The sequence below is a fragment of the Homo sapiens genome, chromosome 19 (genome assembly GCF_000001405.40).
Source record: "Homo sapiens chromosome 19, GRCh38.p14 Primary Assembly".
NCBI classification, from domain to species: Eukaryota; Metazoa; Chordata; class Mammalia; order Primates; family Hominidae; genus Homo; species Homo sapiens.
This window is the reverse complement of record NC_000019.10, coordinates 28,397,274-28,418,963: the sequence shown is the minus strand read 5'-3', so window position 1 is coordinate 28,418,963 and position 21,690 is coordinate 28,397,274. Positions and strand designations below refer to the sequence as shown.

Below are 21,690 nucleotides of genomic sequence, written 5' to 3'. Positions count from 1 at the left end.
TGCAAAACAATATCAGAATAACAAAGAAATATAAGGTCAAACTTTCCCTGTTCCCATCTAGTCCAATAAGCATTGCTGCTCTTGCCAGGGATTCTCGCCCATCTCCATGTGCCAGTGCAATCCATACTGGTTGTTCTCCTTGGCTACCCCACATCTGAGTCTCTGCCTTGTCTGCATTCTTCCCCACTTTATGAAGAGATGAGTCAGTGCCTGATTTTTTCTGCCTCTCTTGTCACTAGGGCACAGCCATGTGCATGGGCCCTGTCACTCAGAAGCCCCCATCCACCAACAACATGGCTCTGGGGGCCTCCTCTCTCTGGAAGAATTGGCAGTTTTAGCAAGAAAGGTTTTCAGAGGCAGCAATGATGGTGGAGATGTCCAGGGCCAGTGGCAGGTCAAACCATTCTCTGTGTCATTTGGGGCAGTGTTTATGCTGTCCCTCATTTTGGTTCCCTAAGCCTCCGAACATGTACGTGAATTTCCGAATATTCTCAATTAAATTGTTTTTCTGTTGAAATTGGCCTGGTTGCTTTCAACTATGACAAACCTAGCTATATAAGTATTATTTTGTAGTGTTGGGATTGATAGAACTTTATGTTCTACACATTAGCAGAATACCATGTGTATTTTTCCATTTGACATAATCTTTTATCTTTCCATTGATAAGTATTATTACTATTTAGTGATATATTATTTGAGTTCTCTTGCCCCTTTTGGGTAGCCCATGTTAACAGTAATACCCAGCTGCTACACTGAGAGCCTCTGAGACTTACTGGCTTCAGGGGAGACAGCACATTATCAGCTGTGGTGGCCATGGCCGAGACTCCTTTTGCCTGAGAAAAGCAGAGGAAAATGTAGAAGGGACTTCGTCTTGCATCTGAGACACCAGCACAGCCACAGGGTGGTAGAGCACCAAGGGGGCTTTTGGAATCTTTGATTCTGGGATGTGGCTCTTGGAAGGCATTTCTGGACTTGCCCTGGGCCAGGGGGAGCCCACTGTCTTAAAGGGTGAGTCCCAGGCCAGGCAGCATTTGCCACAGTCGACTGAAGAGCCCTGGGGGCCTTCAAGGGACATAGAAGGTAATCTGAAAGTACTCCGCATAGGCCTGTGGGGTGGTGGCCATGGGGCAAGGCTGCCCTGCCTCTGGAAAGGGTAGGAGAGAGTGAGAAAGACTGCATCCTGTTGTCCGAGTGCCAGCTCAGCCACAGTACAATAGAACACCAGCTAGGCTCCCAGCCAGCACCTCTGGACCAGCCTGGAAACTGGGGGTAACTCATCGCCCTGAAGGGAAGGACAAAGGCCTGGCTGGCTTTGCCGTCTGCTGATTGTTGAGCCCTAGGCGGGGAGCGGTTACAGTCGGCCTTGGGTGAGACTCAGAGCTGCACTGGCTTCAGGTCTGACTCAGCACAGTCACAGTGATGGTGGCCACAGGGGTGCTTATGTCACTCTATCCCAGCTTTAGGTGGCTCAGAACAGACACACTCCATTTCTTTGGGAGAAAGTAAGAAAGAGAACAAGAGTCTCTCTGATAATCCAGAGAGTTCTCCCAGATCTTGTCCAAGATCATCAAGGCAATACCACTGAGTCTGCAAAAACTGCAGTGTTACTGGGCTTGGGGTGCCCCCTAAAACAGATACAACTTAGATCACAACACCCATGGCCTTTTAAATATGTGAAAAGCCTTCCCAAGAAGGACGGGTACAAACAAGCCCAGATAGCAAAGGCTACAATAAATACCTAACTCTTCAATTCCAGACACAAATGGACACCTACAAGTATCAAGACATTCCAGGAAAAAAATGACCTCACCAAATGAACTAAATAAAGCATCAGGGACCCATCCTGAAGAAACAGATACGTGACCTTTTAGACAGAGAATACAAAATAGCCACTCTGAGGAAACTCAAAGAAATTCAAGATAACACAGAGAAGGAATTCAGAATTCTATCAGATAAATTTAACAAAGAGATTGAAATCATTCAAAATGATCAAACAGATACTGTGGAGATAAAAAATGGAATTGGCATACTAAAGAATGCATCAGAGTCTTAATAATAGAATTAATCAAGTAGAAGAAAGAATTAGCTTGAAGACAGGCTATTTCAAAATACACAGTTAGAGGACTCAAAAGAAAATAGAATAAAAAATAATGAAGCATGTCAAAGAATCTAGAAAATAGCCTCAAAAGGACAAATCTAAGAGTTATTGGCCTTAAAGGGGAGACAAAGAAAGAGATAAGGGTAGAATGTTTATTCAAAGGGATAATAACAGAGACTTTTCGAAACCCGGATAATAATATCAATATCCAAGTACAAGAAAACAGAACACCAAGCAGATTAAATCCAAAGAAGACTGCCTCAAGGCATTTAATAATCAAATTCTAAAGATCAAGGGTAAAGAAAGGATCCTAAAAGTAACAAGGGAGAAGAAACAGATAACATACAATGGATCTCCAGTATGTCTTGCAGTGGACTTTTCAGTGGAAACCTTAAAGTCCAGGAGAGAGTGGCACAACACATTTAAAGTGCTGAAAGAAAGAAACTTTTACCCTAGAATAGTATATCCAGCAAAAATATTCTTCTAACATGAAGAAAAAATAAAGACTTTCCCAGGCAAACAAAAGCTGAGGGATTTTATCAGCACTAGACCTGTCTTATGAGAAATGCCAAAGGGAGTACTTCAATCAGAAAGAAAAGGATGTTAGTAAGTAATCATGCGAAAGTACAAAATTCATGGGTAATAGTAAGCACACAGAAAAACACAGAATTTTATATCCCTGTAACTGTGATGTGTAAACTACTATTATTCTAAGTAGAAAAACTAAATGATGAACCAATCAAAAATAATAACTATAACAATTTTTCAAGCCATAGACAGTACTATAAGATATAAATAGAAACAACAAAAAGTTTAAAATCAGGACAAAGTTAAGACGTAGAGTTTTTATTAGTTTCCTTTTTTTTTGCTTCTTTGTTTCTTTGTTTATGCAAACAATGTTAAGTTGTTATCAGCTTAAAGTAACAGGTCATAAAGAAGCCAGTCATGGTGTCTCACACTTGTAATGCCAGCACTTTGAGAGTCCAAGGTGGGTGGATCACTTGAGGTCAGAAGTTTGAGACCAGCCTGGCCAATATGGCGAAACCCCATCGCTACTAAAAATACAAAAATTAGCCAGGTATGGTGGCACATGCCTGTAATCCCAGCTACTCAGGAGGCTGAGGCATGAGAACCCAGAATGTGGAGGTTGAAGTAAGCCAAGATCACACCACTGTACTCCAGCTTGGATGACAGAGCAAGACTCTGTTTCAGAAGGAAAAAAAAAAGTCATAAGATAGTATTTGCAAGCCTCATAGTGACCTCAAACCATAAAAACATACAATGAATACACAAAAAGTAAAAAGCTAGAAACTAAATCATATTACTAGAGAAAAATCACTTTCACTAAAGGAAGGAAAGAAAGAAGGCAGAGAACATCACAGAACAACTAGAAAACAAGTTAACACAATGGCGGGAGTAAGTTCTTACTTATCAATATTAACATTGATTGTAAATAAGAACACCAATAAAATGAAAGATTACATCAAGTTAAAAAGTTAAAAAGCTTCTGCACAGCAAAGGAAACAGTCAATAAAGTGGTAACCCCGCAGAGTGGGCAAAAAATATTTGCAAACTACCCATGTGACAAGGGATTAATAACCAGAATATATAAGGAGCTCAAACAACTCTAGAGAAAAACAAATCTAATAATCTGATCAAAAAATAGGCAAGATATTTGAATAGACATTTCTCAAAAAAGACATACAAATGGCAAACAGTCATATGAAAAGGTGCTCAACATCATTGATCATCAGAACAATGCAAATAAAAACTACAATGAAATGTCATCTCATCCCTGTTAAAATCGATTGTATCCAAAAGACAGGCAAAAACAAATGCTGGTGAAATGTGGAGAAAAGGGAACCCTCATACACTGTTGGTGGGAATGTAAGTTAGCCCAACCACTATGAATAGTGGTTTGAAGGTTCCTCAAAAAGCTAAATATGGAGCTACCATATGGTTCAGCCATCCCACTGCTGGGTATAGACCCAAAAGAAAGGAAATCAGTATATTGAAGAGATGTCTGCACTCCCGTGTTTGTTTCAGCACTGTTCACAGTAGCAAAGATTTTGAAACAACCCAAGTGTCCCTCAATAGATGAATAGATAAACGAAATGTGGTGCTTTTACACAATGGAGTACTGTTCAGCCATAAAAATGAATGAGATCCTGTTCTTTACAACAACATGGGTGGAAATGAAGATCATTATATTAAGTGATATAAGCCAGACACAGAAAGACAAACATTACATCTTCTCATGTACTTATGGGATCTGAAGATCAAAATAATTGAACTCCATGGACATAGAGAGTAGAAGAATGGTTACCATAGGCTGGGATTAGTAGTGGGACAGGTGGGGCAGGGGGCAGGTTAGGACAGGTAATAGGTACAAAAATAATAGGAAGAATGAATAAGACCTACTATTTGTTAGCATAAAATGGTACTTGTAATCAATTACACTTAATTATATGTTTTAAAATAACTCAAAGAGTATAATTGGATTCTTTGTAACACAAAGAATAAATGTTTGAGGAGATGGATACCCTATTCAGCATGATGTGTTATTATGCATTGCAGGCCTGTATCAAAGCATTTCAAGTACGCTATAGATATATACACCTACTATGTACTCACAAAAATTAACAAATTAAAAAATTAAAGAAAACAGAGTGAGAATGGGATGGTGAGCAGGTGGTATAAGGTATATGATATTGGTGTTCAGACTGTTATCCAAAACCCTAAGAATAGGCCAGGTGCGGTGGCTCACACCTGTAATCCCAGCACTTTGCGAGGCTGAGGCGGGTAGATCATGTGGTGAGGAGTTCAAGACCAGCCTGGCCAAGATGGTAAAACCCTGTCTCTAGTAAAAATACAAAAATTAGCCAGGCATGGTGGTGGGCGCCTGTAATCCCAGCTACTTAGGAGGCTGAGGCAGAGAATTGCTTGAACCCAGGAGGCAGAGGTTGCAGTGAGCTGAGATCATGCCACTGCACTCCAGCCTGGGCAACAGAGCGAGACTCTGTCTCAAAAAAAAAAGGCAAAAAAAACAAAAAAATAAAAAACCCAACCCGTCCTCCCCCCCCCCCCCCCCGCAAAACCCTAAGAATAAAGTTCAGTCATTTTTTTTGCAAATACTACTTGGGACCAACATGGTGCCTGCTACACACGAGGCATTTGATTAATCTGTGTTAAGCGAATAAAAGAATCTAGCTAAAGTCATTATAGCTAACATCATCATACCTAATGTTGATTCTAAGAAGACTAATATTATATATTGAAATCTACAGTAATCAGATGTGTTAGTAGGAAATAATATTATTAACATAATCCAGGAGCATGAATTTAATTCTCCCACTAATATACTCTTCAATCAATAGAGTGCGTCCTCTTTATGGCTGTGTCCCTACTGTATGGAATGCTTGAAATAAAAGGCAGTAGTTTAAGGAGTCTCACTCTGCAGCTCTCTTCTTTAAATATAGACAGTTTATCTGCCATGGTGGGGGTCTTCTGGAAGTTCTCTCGCCTACAAAGCAGGCAGTCATCATTTTAATATTTATTCATCACCATTTAGATGGCAGGATTTATGTTAAGAAATCGGGTGAACAAAACAGACGTGGTCTTTGCCTTGCAGAGTTTACAATCTGATGGGGGAGATGGGAATTAAAAAGCCAAATCCTTAACATGAGATATGACTCTAACTGTTTCAAGGACTAAGAAGAGAGAATGAAAGAAGAGGCCAATTTTTGATCAGGGGATGAGGCAAGACCTCTCCGAATATGTTGCTTTTAGGGAGACTGTCCCTGACATTTGAATCAGAATGAATGAATGGTTTTGACCATGTTGACTGTGTTATAAAGAAATCATCCCAAAGATGCTTTGCATCTAGTAAAACGCTCAATACATATTAGCAATGACTGTGATACACACTTTTACGGTCATCTTCTCATGGCCTTATCAACATGCTGTAGGCCCATGAGTAGACTTACTGGGTATGGCTTTCCCAAGGTACAGATTTATAAATGAATTGGCTGAGACTTGAACGTAATTTTCCTTATGGCTACATCGGTGCTTATTTCTCCAAAGCTATTTTGGAATGGAGCATGCAGTTATTGGGGTCTATGCATTATCTTCATGAGCATGTAAGTTGCTTGGGGGAACTCTTCCCACAGCTCTGTTAAAGCAGTCAAGCCCTTGTGCCAAGCTCGGGGGCGCTTCATGTGCACCTTGCTAAATTCAAGGACAGTTGGGCCATTCAGGAAGCACATGGAGTTGGGTGTGACATGCCTCTTTCTTCTCCCTTCTGACTCTGTCATTTCTTAAAGACTCTCATGAAACTAATGACAAGATGAGGCAAGAAATCACATTACACTTTATAAGGGGCTAATTAGGTAGATATGTTAAAAAGTGTTCCCCGTGGTGCTGTTTCACGGTTGCGCTGTTGGTAATCAGCACTTGCCTTCAGAATGTCAGGATATGAAAAGCGGAGTGGCTTGCCTTGCTGGGTTCTGCTGCGCAGATGAAATGAGTGAAGTGGAGTCTTGGGAATGTGCTCCTCTAGCAGAGTGCGAGTCCTTTGAAGGGATACTTTCGTCTGGTAGTGTATATACTTTGGTCCTGGCTGATCCTTTGAGCATTCAAGCAGATGTACAAGCTCTTCAAGAGATCCCTCCAGCCTCCAGTATAGAGTTTCCTTGGCTTAAATAAGATGTTTATGGGCTGGTGCTAGGGGGTGGTGGGGAGTCCAGGTGAAAAGCTTTTGGAGGTTGAGGTGGGCTTCTCAGCTGACTCTGAATTAGCACATCCATCCATGAACAGCAGGCCCCTAGACAGATATTGGTCATGCTGAGATTCAAAGTGGGGAGACGCACTTTTCCCAAAAAGAAAAACCTGTCGCACCATTTGCCTTCAGTGTGCTTCAGGCTGAAAACCTAAACAGCCATGCTATCAGTTCTGGGTGAGCAGACTATACCAGGGGAAGAATGGAAATGAGAGTGAGGAAGTTCCTGGAGCACATCTGGGTTGAGGACACACAGGGAGAATGATCAGAACCATCCCTGGCTCATCTTTGGGGCCTGTTAGGGTTCCTACCCTGCAAACAACAGTGTCTGAATAATCTATGTTAAAAGGGATTTATGGGACATATAATGTGGGCTGAAGAAACGGGTTTGGGAAGCTCAAGATGCCCAAGGATGGGAAATCTTCGTCCCCTCCATGTGGCTGGCAACATGTGGCCACTGCTGCCACTGCAGAGGACAACTCGAGTGATTCTGGATTCTAAGTACTCAAAGTCCTGGAGGAACCATCTGGGTAGGGGGCTTGGGCCACAGACCCATTCCCAAAGAGTAAGGAGTCCCCTTTTACTCTCTTCAGTGAGAGACAAGATGCTGGGGAGGTTTGCCTCAAGGACATGACATGAAAAGAGTAGGTCACCAAATGAAATCCAGCTGCTTTTAGAAGGGGAAATGAACACTAGGCAGCCAGAAAGTGACAAAGGACAAGTATGCCTGGGTGGGTGCAGAGTCTTGGGCCTCAGGGACCCTGGCACTGAGTGGGAACCTGGTCTGTGCTCGGATCTCCTGCTGAAACTCAGCCAGCTCTCTGCTCAGCCAGGCACTCCTGTGCTGTCCAATAGAGTGGCCGCTACCCACATGTGCTGATTTAAATGTAAATAAATTAAAAGTGTATAGAATTAAATGTCCAGTTCCTCAGTTGCACCTGCCACATTCAAGTGCTCACGGGTCTTACATGGCTAGTGGCTGCCACATGGGCTGATATGGATAAAAATATTTCTGCCATTTTAAAGTGTTTTATGAGATAGCTGTAGAGGTTCAATAGCCAACCAGGCCTTTCTCCTTATCTCCGTCTTATAGGACATCAATTCCAAGGACGTTTTACCCTATGTTTGTCTATGGAAAGAGATTGGGCATCAGATGTGGAAATGAGAAATTATATTTACATATTTTGCCTTTTTCTGTTTTTGTTGGTGGGTGATATGACAACATGGGTAAATGCAGAAATCACAATATAATATATGCTGCGATTATAATTAAATTAAGTCAGATTAACTGTGAACAGGGAATGAGATAGAAGACGTACAAAAAGAAAAGGATGCATTGACTGGGTTTGTATGACAGTGGAGGTTTTCTTTTCATTTGATTTTTACTATTGCTAATAAAATGATTGGGTCTCAAATATGCTTTTGCTTAAAGAAGAGTTGGTTATTTGGGCATAAATGAGATTTTTAGTGTCTTTTGTAGATAACAATGACCCTTCATCTCATTTTTTAGGGTCATAATTTAAAAGATTTCCATGAGCTCATTTGCTCCTCAAATACTCTTGTATAATTCAATACAGGGCTGAGATTTTAATACTAAGGCCCTTTCTAGAACTAAATAAGATACACATTTTTAAAAATGATTTTCAATTCAAATGCAAGGAAACTGAGGCTGAGGATGGCCGAATGACCTGCTCTCTGAAGTCAGTCACACAACTAGTGAGGAGTGAGGCTGGAATGGGAACTTCCCACTTCTGGCTTCTAATTTGGTGCTTAATCCTGTTGTTGTCCACTATAATGTCCTGCTCTTCATTACGGTAGATTCTCTCTGTGTGTTCAGGTTTTCTGCGCCCCCATCTTAACGTGTTGGGTTGCTGAGTAGCATCACACTATGGAGCTGAGCTATGGAGGTGATAGGCGTAATGCAAGCTGACCCCAGAGCGTCAGAGCTGTCAGTTTAAGTGCAGGACTGACAGGGCAGGATCACAGGTGCTTGGTCTGGGAGGCAGAAGCCTTGAGGGTGGAGAGGAACTGGGTCTGCTGGACAGAGCCTTTCTTTACCTCGGCCTGTCTGATGGGGCTGATACCTCCTGCTGGAAACTCTCACAAGGTTGTTGTGGGGTAAAAATGGATAATGCCAGGTAAGCCCTTCAGCAAAGCTGAAAGTGCAAGGTACAAACACAAAGCATGATTTTTTTAAGGAACACTGGGGGAGGAGGGGAAAGTATTCCTGTGAACTTATGCCCCATTCCTGGAAATAAAATACAAAATACTCTTCTGGGGATGGTGACTGAGAAATGGCACTGTGTGGATACCAGCTTCATTTGCTAATTTGTTCAATATAACATGCAGCCGGTAACCTCAGCCCATGTCTTGACGGTATGTGGCTGGAAGGCAAGGGGACTGCTGCATGCAGGCTGCACACAGGAAGATGTGTAAGCGTGCAAACACACACGCACACACACACGTACACAACACACACAGTGGGCTCACTTGTCAGGCTAGCAGCACTAGAAAAGGTCTTTTAAAAGGGAATCCATTTAAAATGGAACAATATTTCATAATAAGTTTAATAAAAAAGATTTGATTAAACACTTGTGGGAGGGAGGGCCTCAGGAAGAATAGCTAATAGATGCTGGGCTTAATACCTAGGGATGGGGTGATCTGTGTAGCAAACCACCATGGCACACATTTGCCTATGTAACAAACCTGCACGTCCTGCACATGTGTCCCTGAACTTCAAATATAAGTTGAAAAAAAACACTTGTTTATTTTATCTTATGTTTAAAACAATCTTTGTTTTAGTTGCAATCATGTACTACAGAACAAATCAATTTTTCTGAAAGTCTTATTAACAACTGCCTAACTCGTAACTACAGTCCTAGGAGGATCTCCTCAGCCAAATGTTTGAAGACTTTTCCATTTTTTCCAAGAGCTCCTGCAGGCCTCTTTTGCTTCTGAAGCTTGCCTGTGGTCAAATCATCGCTTTGTGGTTTTTTCTTCTGCACTAACTACCGTAACTCTGCGTTATCCTCATTTGTCAGTGATTTGCGTGGGATTCAAGGCATTTCCCTTGTCACTTTCACTGACTTTGCAAATCTTATAGAAGGTGCAAGATTTTTCCAATTTCATTTGGCAACTGATTTGCATTCATTTGCACTGTATCGGCAGGCAGCTGCCACATTTTATAATCCAGGAAGTTATACAAGAAGTGTATAACTTCTTCCTGATGGAGCTGCTCTGGGGTGGGGTGTGAGCTTCTTTTTTTTTTTTTTTTTTTTGAGACGGAGTCTTGCTCTGTCACCCAGGCTGGCGTGCAGTGGCGCGATCTCTGTTCACTGCAAGCTCCGCCTTCCGGGTTCACGCCATTCTCCTGAGCAGCTGGGGTGTGAGCTTCTAAGTGGGGACAGGAGATCAAGTAGGGCCAGTCTTAAAAGAGGGCAGATTATTAAAGAATAGATTATTTGTTTCCATCTGGAATCATGTAACCACATCGATGCAGACAACACTCAGGAACATGTGCCTTCTGTGCTTAGCCCCCGATGCCCCCGATGAGAGGGCATTGCCAAGCACAGCGTCAGGGTTATTGTCAGGATCAGCAAGCTCCTGAGTGTGACTGAAAATAATCTCATTTCTCTTCTGTGATTTTGGACAAATCCCTTTTTTTTCCTCTGGCCTCCTGTGTAATGTTTTAACTTCAGTCCTGCTCTGGCATCTCAATACTCCAGCATCTCTCTATAAAACCTTGTGGGCTGCCAGCTTTGACCCAGACCACAGTAACTTGATCCCAGGTTAGGGATGTGGGCCAAAGAGGAACACTGCCATGATGAAAATAACCTTCGGGCCTGCAGTCCGTGGCCATGTGTCACCATATGTGGCAGGGGACGTGGGAGAACATATGGGAGCTGTGACATGGCCATTCTGGGTATTTGCTTCTACAAAGAGCCAAGGGGATGATCAGAAACACTTCATCTGGTATAGTCTGAATTGACTGCAAGTAATTCAGAAAACTTTACTGGGAGGGGCTGGGGAAGTCAGTGAGTAGACATTGGACTTGTTTTCTGTGGTGGTGGTGAAATATTTGCAACAGAAATGTATCATTTGAACCATTTTTCCTGTTTAAGTGTACACTTCTATGGCATTAAGTATACTCACATTGTCGTACAACCACCAGTATTACCCATCTATAGAACCTTTTCATCATCCCAACTGGAAGTCCATGCCATTAAACAATAGCTCCTTATTTCCTTTGCCCCAGCCCCTGGCAACCACCCCACTCCTTTCTGTGTTTTTTATTAGACTATTTAGGTAGGTCATGTGAATGCAATGATACAGTATTTTTCCGTGTCTGACATTTCACTTAGTATAATGTTTTCCAGGCTCATCCATTTTGTAGCATGTGTCAAAATTTCATTCCTGTTTTAGGTGAATAATATTCTGTCGTATTCGTGTACCACATTCTGATTATCCATTCTTCCATCAATTTGGGCTGTTTCCACCTTTTGCCTGCAATGAATAATGCTGCTGTAAATGCCGGTGTGCAAACACAGGTTTGAGTCTCTGCTTTCAGTTCTCTTGAGTTGGGCTTGGTTTTGTCAAGCGTAAATCCTAAACTATGTCTGGCTTCTTTCATTTGAAAATGCCTTTTAAAAAATTAAATGTAGAGTGACATTAATCTGATCCTTTTCTTTAAAAAAGATTTTTTAGAGTCAGAAAATTAGAGGTCATTAAAGACTTGAGAGTTTGGAAGAACTACCTTCATATATCTTGAGGAATAAGAAAGAAACTCAGTGTTCCGAGGCTTCAGAGGGAAGAAGAAACAAGGCTTTTAGGAGCCAGTTTTCAGTTCAAGATAAGGTGGAGCTTTTTAGGAATGAGTGTTACCCAACAAGGCCTTAACTGGTGGGGTCATGAGGAGCCTGTCACAGCCTGCGTAGGGTGGGAGCTTCCAAGACTAGTGTCCAGAGATTGTTATCCCCTCTCCCTCCTTTATCTCTCCCTTTCCAGAAATACTTCCTGCTCACAACTTGATTGTACTTGTTGTGTAATTGTTGTTGTGCTCACAACATTTTGTACTTGATTACATATTCTGCTCTGTGGTGCCCCAATTACTCAAGGTGTGTGAATCTTGACTCCCCAGTATTTGCAGGGCTTATTACATGCCTTTGTTGTAAACCCTGTGAGCCCCGTCAATTTATGGAAATGTCACATTGAAGATAAACTGGAAACATTATCTGAGAAAGATAGAGAGATAGGAAAAAAGAGAGAAATAGGGAGATATTAAAATATAGCTGTATCTATCATCTATTGAGAGAGACAGAGAGAGAGATAGAGAGAACAGAGATAGAGATAGAGATACAGATACAGATAGTTTTAGGTTAAACTGAAGGTGAAATTCTAACCTAATGCTCTTTTAAAAAAATGAAACTAGTCCTGTTTCCTCTCTTTCTTCTTCTGGGTACCTCTGTCCTACCCATCTTCTTTTATTTCCCCATTTTTAGAGAAGAAGAGCTGGTAATTATTCACCTGTGATATTGGGGAATTGTTATTAGTCCAAGTGGCTGCTCGCTAATCCTTCAGGGAGTGCTTGTGTCAGGGGAGATTGTGCATATAAGGCTCTCTAAATGATGTGGAGAACTCCCCCATGTACCCTGTTAGCAAGGAGAGGGCTTGTTTTGGAGGGTTGCCAGTGAAGCATTTCAAAGGTAATTGGGAAATGATGTCTTAGAAATAATGCAAAAAATGCACCAAGTTTTCCTAGCCTGAGATGGAAACAGTCCCCTCTCTGCAAGGCAGCCCAGTGGTTTACAGTAATCACCTATAGAAAAATTGTATTTTCAAGCCCCCAATTAATTTCTTACCCACTGGAGATGATAAAAGGACTGTCAGCCAGGAAATAAAAATAGCCTAGTGGAGTGCCTGTGTGTGTGTGTGTGTGTGTGTGTGTGTGTGTGTGTGTGTGTGTGTGTGTGTTTTAACAGAAGATTCATGCTGTTGCTTTTGCTGGTTTCAAAACAACACAAAGACCTGGCTGTGGGCCAGGGATTATGGGCAGGAGTGTGGCAGTGGCAATAATAATAAGGAAGGAACGGGCTGCTCGTTTGTACGTTTGATCTATGGACTGATTGGGAGCGTAATTAACAGGTTCCGTTCAGGCTGTCTGTGGGAGCTGCGCGGAGGCAGGAGATGGATGACCGTGGTTAGTGACTGCGAAGATGCTAATGCCCCTCAGGCTACGCCGGAGGGCGCCGCGTCCCTCGGGAAGCAGAAGGTCTTGGCCTCCGCTCTCTGTTTTCTGGCCTCTTTGTTTTTCTCTGGTCTGTCTGCACAGTCCAAGAAACTTCCCTCACATTCTCTGCCTTATTTTAAGTTCTCTCGCAAAGCAGACCCTGAAACAATAATTTGGGTGGAGGTAGCCTCCAGAGAAGTACGATGAGGCAGTGGGACAGTGAGACATGGAGGAAAGAAAGACAAAAAAGGGTGTGTTCGTCACCAGGTGACCGCTGCTGGGCAACAGGGGCTCGGTCTTCCTGGGCGCGCTGATTCCACTGAAGGAGGTGAGGCCCAGGGCAGGCTGCGGTGCAGCTGGAGAGCAGGGCGAAGAGGATCTTTCAAGAGGAGGACGGGCAAGAGATGGCAAAGCGGGGCTAAGGGTGTGCGGGGGCTGCTTCTAGTTCCTCCCAGAGGCCCCGCAGCTCCTTTGCCCACCATTTCTATGAAGCATCTCTTTCATCATGCATATCCCACTTTTCACTAACTTAAGTGAATGAGAAGAACAGAAATACGACATGAACAAACACTCTTTATGTTTATAATGTCATTTTAATTCCTTATGAGAGGAAGTGTTTAATACGACGCCTATCATACACCCGGCCCTCGACAAATGGCAGCCACTATTATTTATGATGACTACTTAATCCCTGGTCCTATCTGACCTTGTCTCTCACCTTATCCCTGAAACTGACTGGAAATAAAAACATTTTTATTTCCTGACAGCCAGGAAATGAAAATAGTTTTCTTGGGACTGTCTCAAACACCCGAAACTCAATAAAAATGAATTTCTCATCTAAGATACCTGCGTATCTGGCATGAACAATCACCACATATCCAGTATTCATGTCAGAGGCAAAGAGCATCCCTAATTCTTTCTCCTGTCCCACAACCATGAAAAGAAAATAAAATCTCGGGACCCCAATGCACCCTGCCAAAAGGAAAAATTAGCTGAAAGCTGAGTCATGCAAGAAGCTGCCTTTTCTTTTCTTCCTAAGCAGAGAGCTACAGATAAAAGGCTAACTATTAATATCTCTACTCTGCGTTCACCTTGTCTGTGTAAAGTGCCGATTTACTGAGTGCAGGAAGGATGCATGATTGACTATTTCCCCACCTGTTCCTTTTCCCTTGCAACATGTGGATTCAGTAATGTGACCATGCCCTCCCTCTTTTCCCTCCAACCCACTTTCCCTTTTAAAATATTGAAGCCCTCAAAGTCAACTCTGGAGAAGGGCACAGACTACAGGCTGTTTCTGGGATCCCGTAGTCCTTTCTTCCAGGCATGTTCTTAACCTTGACAAAAAAAACTTTTGATTTGATTGAGACCCGCCTCAGATACTTGTTGGTTTCCACAGCCAATCAATAAACATGCTTGGTAAATTCACCCTCAACAGTGTTTCCCAAGGCCATCTGTTTCATTTCCCCCACTATCCTGGGCCACACATTATCATTTCCCACAAATACATCAACAATATCTAACAAGACTCCCAACCACCTGCCATGCCCCTTTCGATCTGGTGGTTTTTCAAGCTTTCTGTTGAGACAGTAGTTAGTATCCTTTGCTCAAATAAAATCGTATGTGAAACTCCAGTATATGAGGCCCACAAAAGTGAAGCTGCTCTGGTTTAAGAAAATGGGGAGCAGAGGCGACTAGGGCCCTCCCATCCAGCCTCCCCATGTACACCCTGGTCCTGTCCAACCCATAGCCCGGAATATGACACATGAACACAGAGGTGAGGAAGAGAGGCAGTGAACCATGAAGACATCCGGAGGGGAGAGCATTCCAGGAAGAGGCAGTGGCCAGAGCACAGGCCCCAAGGAGCAGCTGGAGGCCAGTGTGGTGGAGCCAGCCAGGCAGGAGGCAGCCCAGGGAGAGCCCCGGGAGAGCCCGCAGAGAGACACGTGGGTCATGTTGGCCACTGGTTGGGTGGGGTTTTGGCTTTTGCTCCAGAGAGGCAGGGGCCTTTGGAGGTTGTGAGCACAACAGTGACCTGGGGGATCCTTGTGGTGGATGATAGACTGCGGGGAGGTAAATGTGGGAACAGGATATCCGTGAGGAAGCTGATGCAATAATTCAGTTAAGAGATGATGGTGGCTTGGAGCAGGGTCGTGGCAGGGAAGTGGCGAGAGGAGCTCAGATTCTGTGTGCATTCTGGAAGCAGGAGCAACAGTGTTTGTTAAAGGATTGAATGTGGCTGTAAGGGAAAGATGCGTGTTTAGAACAGCACTTTTTTCCTTTTGGCCTACATACCTGGAAGGAGGACTTCCCATCAGCTAGGAAGTAACAGCTGTGGGTAGAGCAGGTTTTAGGGACATGCTGGTAACTTCATCACAGGTGCATTTTCCGTGATATTTTATTGACATTATCTCTGATTTTTTCATTTTGCATAAAAATTTGATAATCGATTATCTAGTTCCAACAATCAGATAAATGGAGAAAGTAATCACTTTACAGAAAAGTTTAGACTCAGGATTGATTATAATAGTAAAATTGGAAACCATCATAGCATATGTAAAATGTAAATCAGCTTAACATAAAATTTCGGAAACATATTTATTACAGAAAGGTCAGCCAGAGAATGTGACGATGAGGCCAAGTGACACAAGGTGAGAACTGGGCCTTTACAGCAACAGCATACAATGCCCTTGGGTGGCATCTCGTGAGCCCTTCTCCTCGGGACCTTTCTGCCCCATGCTCAGCGTGGTGATGTGTGCCGGCCAGTGCAGCAAGGAGCCCTCTTCAGGGGCTCGGTGGGGGGAGGCTCACATGGCCTGGATGGCCGGCAGTGGGACATGGGTACTTAGGAAATACCGAACCTACAAATATTCATGTTTTCAAGCAACCATGTAATAGTCGTATTATATTTATAGCATCACACAGCCAGTGCCTGACACATAAGCACAGCAGGTGCTCCACACGTGAGAATGAAGACATGCTGTGAAGGGTGCGGGCAGAGAGAATTCTCAGCCCATGCTGATCTCATTTGCCTTCCATCCTCGGCCACAGCCCTGAGTGGTCTTTAGATAGAACCACCCACCACACCAGACCTGAGTGGTCTTTAGATAGAACCACCCATCACACTGTTTCATGCTCCTGCTCAGCTGGGGTCATTATGTATCTTTCTTTGGTTGTCTTTGCAACTGTACCTGTTACTTTCAGCAGTAAGTGACATGAAACCTAACTTCCTCAACCTAGCTCAAAGGAGGGCCACACAACGCTGTGCAACAGCTCCCGTGTCTCCAAGGACCCAGCGTCTTTTTACAGTTCCGTTCTTCCATTCTTAACCAGGTCAGATTTCATTTTTAAGTTGATCATCTCATGTTTGCAGGGTGGCAGATGAGACTGGTGCCCTGGGTTTTTTCCATTTCCCAGGATAGAAGTCAAGAAAGACGTGGCAATAAAGGAGAGTTTATTACCTTGTGCAATGGGGAGCCAGCGTGAGACAGGAAAAAAGAGCGGTGGCCCCCAAGGAGACTGTGTAGTTCAGCCTTATAGGGTCTTTTATAGGGAAGGGTTATGTCAGGGTGTGTCTAGGAGTTTGTCCAGTGCTTGCACAGTGGCTCAGCACGTTTCTTTATGCATTGCATGTAGTATTAGCATTCTAAATCTCCACTCTGGGCATGAATTTTAGCATCATGATGAGGAAAGAGTAACTTTAGGCTGGAGCTTAAGTCTGACTGCACACGCAGTACTTGAGGAAAGCCCTTAGCCCCCTGATAGAAATTTGCTGTCAATAGGTTCCCAGGTCTTTTGTACTGATTGCCTGAGGGTTAGATGAGCCAGAGTTTGAGTGAAGGGCTTTTATCCTTTAACATTAGCCCATGTCAAAATAGGAAATCAGCCAGCCGGCCTGTCTCAGCTGCACTTTCAGCAAGTGCATGCTTACTCCATGCAGCAGAAGGGAGAAGACAAAAGAAAACGGGAAGCACATGCATTTTGTCGTTGTTGTTGTTGTTGTTGTCAGAAAAGAAAAATTTCCCAGAAAGCTAGAAGCAGACTTCCTTTTAGGTCTCTTTAATGTCTAGGTCATATGACCAGCTTTCTTGAAAAGGTGGCTGGGAAAATAATTATTTTTTAGCACGTCCTGTTGCTGCTCCTAGCAAAACTGGGATTCTATTGGCAAGTGAAACATGGGAATGTGTGTTGTGTGGGTAACACATAGATTTGTTATACCAACTACACCATAAAACCCATGATTGCTGAGTCCATGAGCTGGTCTTTGTCTCTATTGAGGACCTCTGAGTGCCATAGAAGAGAACTAAGCAATGACTGACTGCGTGATTCCAGCGGGAGTGGTTACCGGGAGCCAGGGCTTTTGTCCAAGGTGACAAATCCAGGGAAGTTGGTCCCTTTGATCTCTGGTAGTTTCACTAAGAACCAGACCTTCAGCTTGAGATGAAATCACTGTGCTTCTGCCAAAGAGTGCTTCATGGCTGGTTAAAGGGCTCCTTTTAGCTGCCAGGACTCATGATCAAGCTATCCTTGACAAATTTTAATTTTAGTAAAAGTAATTGGCCTAATATGAATCAGACTGATGGCCAGCTTTCAGAACAGCCTCTAATGGTTCATAATGTCCATACCACCCAGGGGACTCAAGATAACATCGCCAAAGATAATTATTACAGAATGTAGGAGCTGATCACGAGGAGTAATTAAATGTCTTGTTCATGCATATTCCCTGCTTTGAGGAAAGAGATAAGGAGCTCCCAAGAGAGGTTATAGGTTTCTGGGAAAAGTAACTTTCCTTAGCAGCTTAGGATGACTTCAGGATTTTAACCTAATTCAACAAGTTTCTACTCAGCCCAGGGATAAGCCCCATGAACAAGAGAGGTGTAAATATCCAAACAGCAGGGGGAGAAACTTACAGATTAATTAGAAGAAAAAGACTAACATGAGAAATCTACCTTATTAAAAGCACTGCTTTGGATAGAGATGGGCCTGAACTCAGACTCTAATCCTGACGCTATTTTTGAGGACTTAGGCAACTTTTTTAACCCCTTGCAGTGGGTTTCCTAATCTAGAAATTGAAGGCAATAATAGGTATCTTCACAGATATTTAAACTGTATTAACTAAGAGTTAATATGAAATAATGAAGGCAGAGTACATAGCCCAGAGCTTGGCAAGTGTAAATGAATCTTGGCAGAGCATGTTGGTGGGTGGGCTGGGGCTCAGGCTGCCAAGGTTGCCCTTGCTGCCCCTCCTCCCACCTATGGCATCTGCTGCACGCATTGAATGCAGGGGGGATTTTGTTTCATAACTGGGAGGCTGGGAGGAGATGTTGGTGCTTTGGAACAGGCTGACAAGGATAAACAAGGAGCAGCATCTCACATGCCCTGCCCAGCCCTTGGCCCTGGTGTGAATCCCATGGTATAGGGGTGGGGACCAGAAGCCAGCCAAAGCTTTTATGAGTTGGGCCCCAAAGCCACTCTGCTGGTATTTGCAGGCCATGAGAGAGTGGCATGGGCCGGGGACAGGATTCTTCCATCCTGTGCCACCTCCAGCACATCTGGGAGCTTTGGGATGTTCGGAGGCGGTGCACCTTGCACAGGCATTGATGGGGGTGACTGGCCATGGCAGGCAGAATCAGGCCCACACTGCTTGGTGATGGAGCTGGACCAGGTCTGTGGCTCACGAGACTGTCTTTGCAGGACTCAGAAACAATGGGAGGGGATATTGGGAGGCCTATGCTCCTCTCTCAGCAGGTGGCTTGAACTGAAGTCTAATTGGACCTCTATTCCTATCCACAGCCTGGAGCAGATAGATGGCATTGGGATTGTACCTCACGCCAACCACAGTGTGATTCAGCCTTAGAATGAGAGAGTTGTAGCTTTTGCATGAGAGAGCAAGTGTACAAGTTACCACCGCAGCATCCGGCACATAGCAGTTGCTCAACAAATACCATCAGCCTTAAGGGTCATGTTTCCAATTTCAGGGGGGGTAAAGAATATTATGTCTTAGAAAACTCAGGAAAATGTCTATTCATTTATCTGTTCATTCAACAAGAATTTATTGAGTGCCTACACATACTTTATATGTGTATGTGTGTGTGTGTGTGTGCATACAAATATACAGAACATCCAAATCCTGGTCAGGAGGAGGCATGGGTGAATGGAATGAGCCCTGCATCTGGAAGTGTGGATCCCAATGGAAGAGGCCTGCATGTGCATCAGCAGGTGCAGCCCAGGCAAAGGCTGATAAAGCTGCAACAAGGATGAACCAAGCAGAGTGAGAGCATGGGAGAAGTATGCATGGCTTTCTGGGGAGAAGGCCATTGAGTTGAATCTGGAGTAGCTCCCCTTCCACAAGTGGAGATCTGGGAAGGCAACCACCCTAATTAGAGGAGAGAGCAGGAAAATACAGGGAAATTTCAAGAGACCAAAAATAATTTGTTTTACATGTGGTACATATCCAACATGGAATACTACACAGCCATAAAAAAGAATAGAATTGTGTCTTTTGCAGCAACATGGATGCAGCTGGAAGCCATTCTCCTCAGCAAATTAACACAGGAACGAAAACCAAATACCACATGCTCTCACTTAAAAGTGGGAGCTAAACACTGACTACACATGGACACAAAGATAACAAAAATAGAAACTGGGGACTACAAGAAGGAGAAGACTACAAGGGGCAAAGGTTGAAAAACCACCTGTTGGGTACCATGCTCACTGTTTGGGTGGTAGGTTCAATAGAAGCCCAAACCTCGGCATCACACAATATCCCCATGTAACAACCTGCACGTGTACCCCCTGATTCTAAAATAGTTGAAAATTTTTTAAAGGTTGAAAAATTAAGGATAAATAAATAATTGATGAAAATTTTTTAAAAATTTATTTTGGGCCAGACACGGTGGCTCACGCCTGTAATCCCAGCATTTTGGGAGGCCGAGGTGGGCAGATCACTTGAGGCCAGAAATTCGAGACCAGCCTGGCCACCATGGCAAAACCCCATCTCCACTAAAAATATAAAAATTAGCCAGGCATGGTGGTGGGCACCTGTAGTCCCAGCTACTCGGGAGGTTGAGGCAGGAGAATAGATTGAACCCGGGAGGCGGAGGTTGCAGTGAGCCGAGATAGCTCCACTGTACTCCAGTCTGAGCAACAGAGAGAGACTCAGCCTCAAAAACAAAAAAATTATTTTGATAACAGCCTTGTTGATAGGAGGGGAGAGGAGGGATGCTGTGAGCCAGGCAGGCTGAGGTTCATGTACAGAAGTCCTGGATGCCTTTCTAGGAAAAGCAGGGACTCTGGAGGTGGGCGTGCATGGTGGCAGGTGGCCTGCTTTGGGGGATCACATCCTGCAGGGCTCCTGGGCTTGACAAGAACACAGGCCTCAAGGAGAGGCATGGTAATTTGCCTTTGGAAAGGACTTGGACGGAAGCCTCTAACTCTGTTCTGGTATGAACTGTAGGAATTATGCATGCCCTGGCTCTGAGACTGGTGGCTTCTCCATGTCTCTGAGGAGCAAGGTCTCACGTTTCCTTGTTTGTTCTGTTGTTTCCTTCATTATCTCCTGATGACCTTCTGCTGCTGTGAAAATGTGTCTGGCTGGGGATAGGAGGGTCCAGCAGTCACACTGGATGCCAGAGTCTGCCCACCCTGGCTTCGTCCGCTCCCTGACCCCCAGATAATGTTTTATGAGGTGTCTGAGACACAGACATCAGGCAAATATGTACTGGAATTGGAAGCCCAGATTTGCTGCTGCCTGAGCAGTTCATGAACCACATGACTGCCTCCTCTCCATCAAGATTTTCTTTCAAATCGAGTGTATGACCACTCTCCAAAAGGGAGTGTCTCAATGCAGAACAATGTAATGGGGGATGGTGGAAAATCAGATCAGCCAAGGCCTGTGCCCTGCGGCCCTGTGGCCACAATTTTCCTCTACCCATTCAGAGCACTAAGAGCCACCCCATGAGCATGCCTCTCCCTCATCTTCACGTGGACCAAAGCAGGCGTCACAAAGTGAGTTACGAACCACTAATATGGTTTGTAAATTTATTGTTTTCTCCTTGCTCTTAACTCGGAATTGTCAGGTTCTCCTCCTTTTCCTTCAGGGCCCCATTTTCCTTTGACAGCTCTTCCAGGCCAAGACTGAGAGAGCCCTAGAGGTGGAGGTGCCACCTTGAAACATGGGATAGTTCATGCCCACCCCTTGGCTGAGCAATGGCCAGGGAGAGCGCTCTTGTCACAAGGCATGGTGGGCTAGGGAGGAAAAGGAAACTCAGAAGTGGCGCCAGAACCCTCTTGCAGAGCCTGCCAGGCGCTTTTCACAAACACATCCTCATAAACAGCCACAGATGGCCTCTTTCACGGAGCATGCCCAGATAGTCCCCGGGTGACTAATTCCTGCCTTAGCTGTTAAAGCCGATTTCCCCACCATCAGTGAGGAACCTCTCCGCTTCAGTTACCTCCTCCCAGCGCCAATAAAGTGCACATGGCAGCTCTGAGCTCAGGCACGCGCTCTCATGGGGTTGCTCCAATTTCCATCCACAGTGATTTTGCTAAGCCAAAATATTTTACTTCCGATTAACCTGAAACAGTTTTTAA

General features: G+C 44.0%; 3 annotated features.

Annotated features, from left to right (window-relative positions):
• Positions 15,421-16,381: an enhancer, noted in NCBI's record as "H3K27ac-H3K4me1 hESC enhancer chr19:28893490-28894450 (GRCh37/hg19 assembly coordinates)". NCBI's record gives its function as "activates a minimal SCP1, AML or CMV promoter by ChIP-STARR-seq in primed H9 embryonic stem cells {active_cell/tissue: H9 hESC(primed)}" and the evidence as "EXISTENCE:reporter gene assay evidence [ECO:0000049][PMID:30033119]".
• Positions 17,749-18,402: an enhancer, noted in NCBI's record as "NANOG-H3K4me1 hESC enhancer chr19:28891469-28892122 (GRCh37/hg19 assembly coordinates)". NCBI's record gives its function as "activates a minimal SCP1, AML or CMV promoter by ChIP-STARR-seq in naive H9 embryonic stem cells {active_cell/tissue: H9 hESC(naive)}" and the evidence as "EXISTENCE:reporter gene assay evidence [ECO:0000049][PMID:30033119]".
• Positions 18,403-19,057: an enhancer, noted in NCBI's record as "H3K4me1 hESC enhancer chr19:28890814-28891468 (GRCh37/hg19 assembly coordinates)". NCBI's record gives its function as "activates a minimal SCP1, AML or CMV promoter by ChIP-STARR-seq in naive and primed H9 embryonic stem cells {active_cell/tissue: H9 hESC(naive and primed)}" and the evidence as "EXISTENCE:reporter gene assay evidence [ECO:0000049][PMID:30033119]".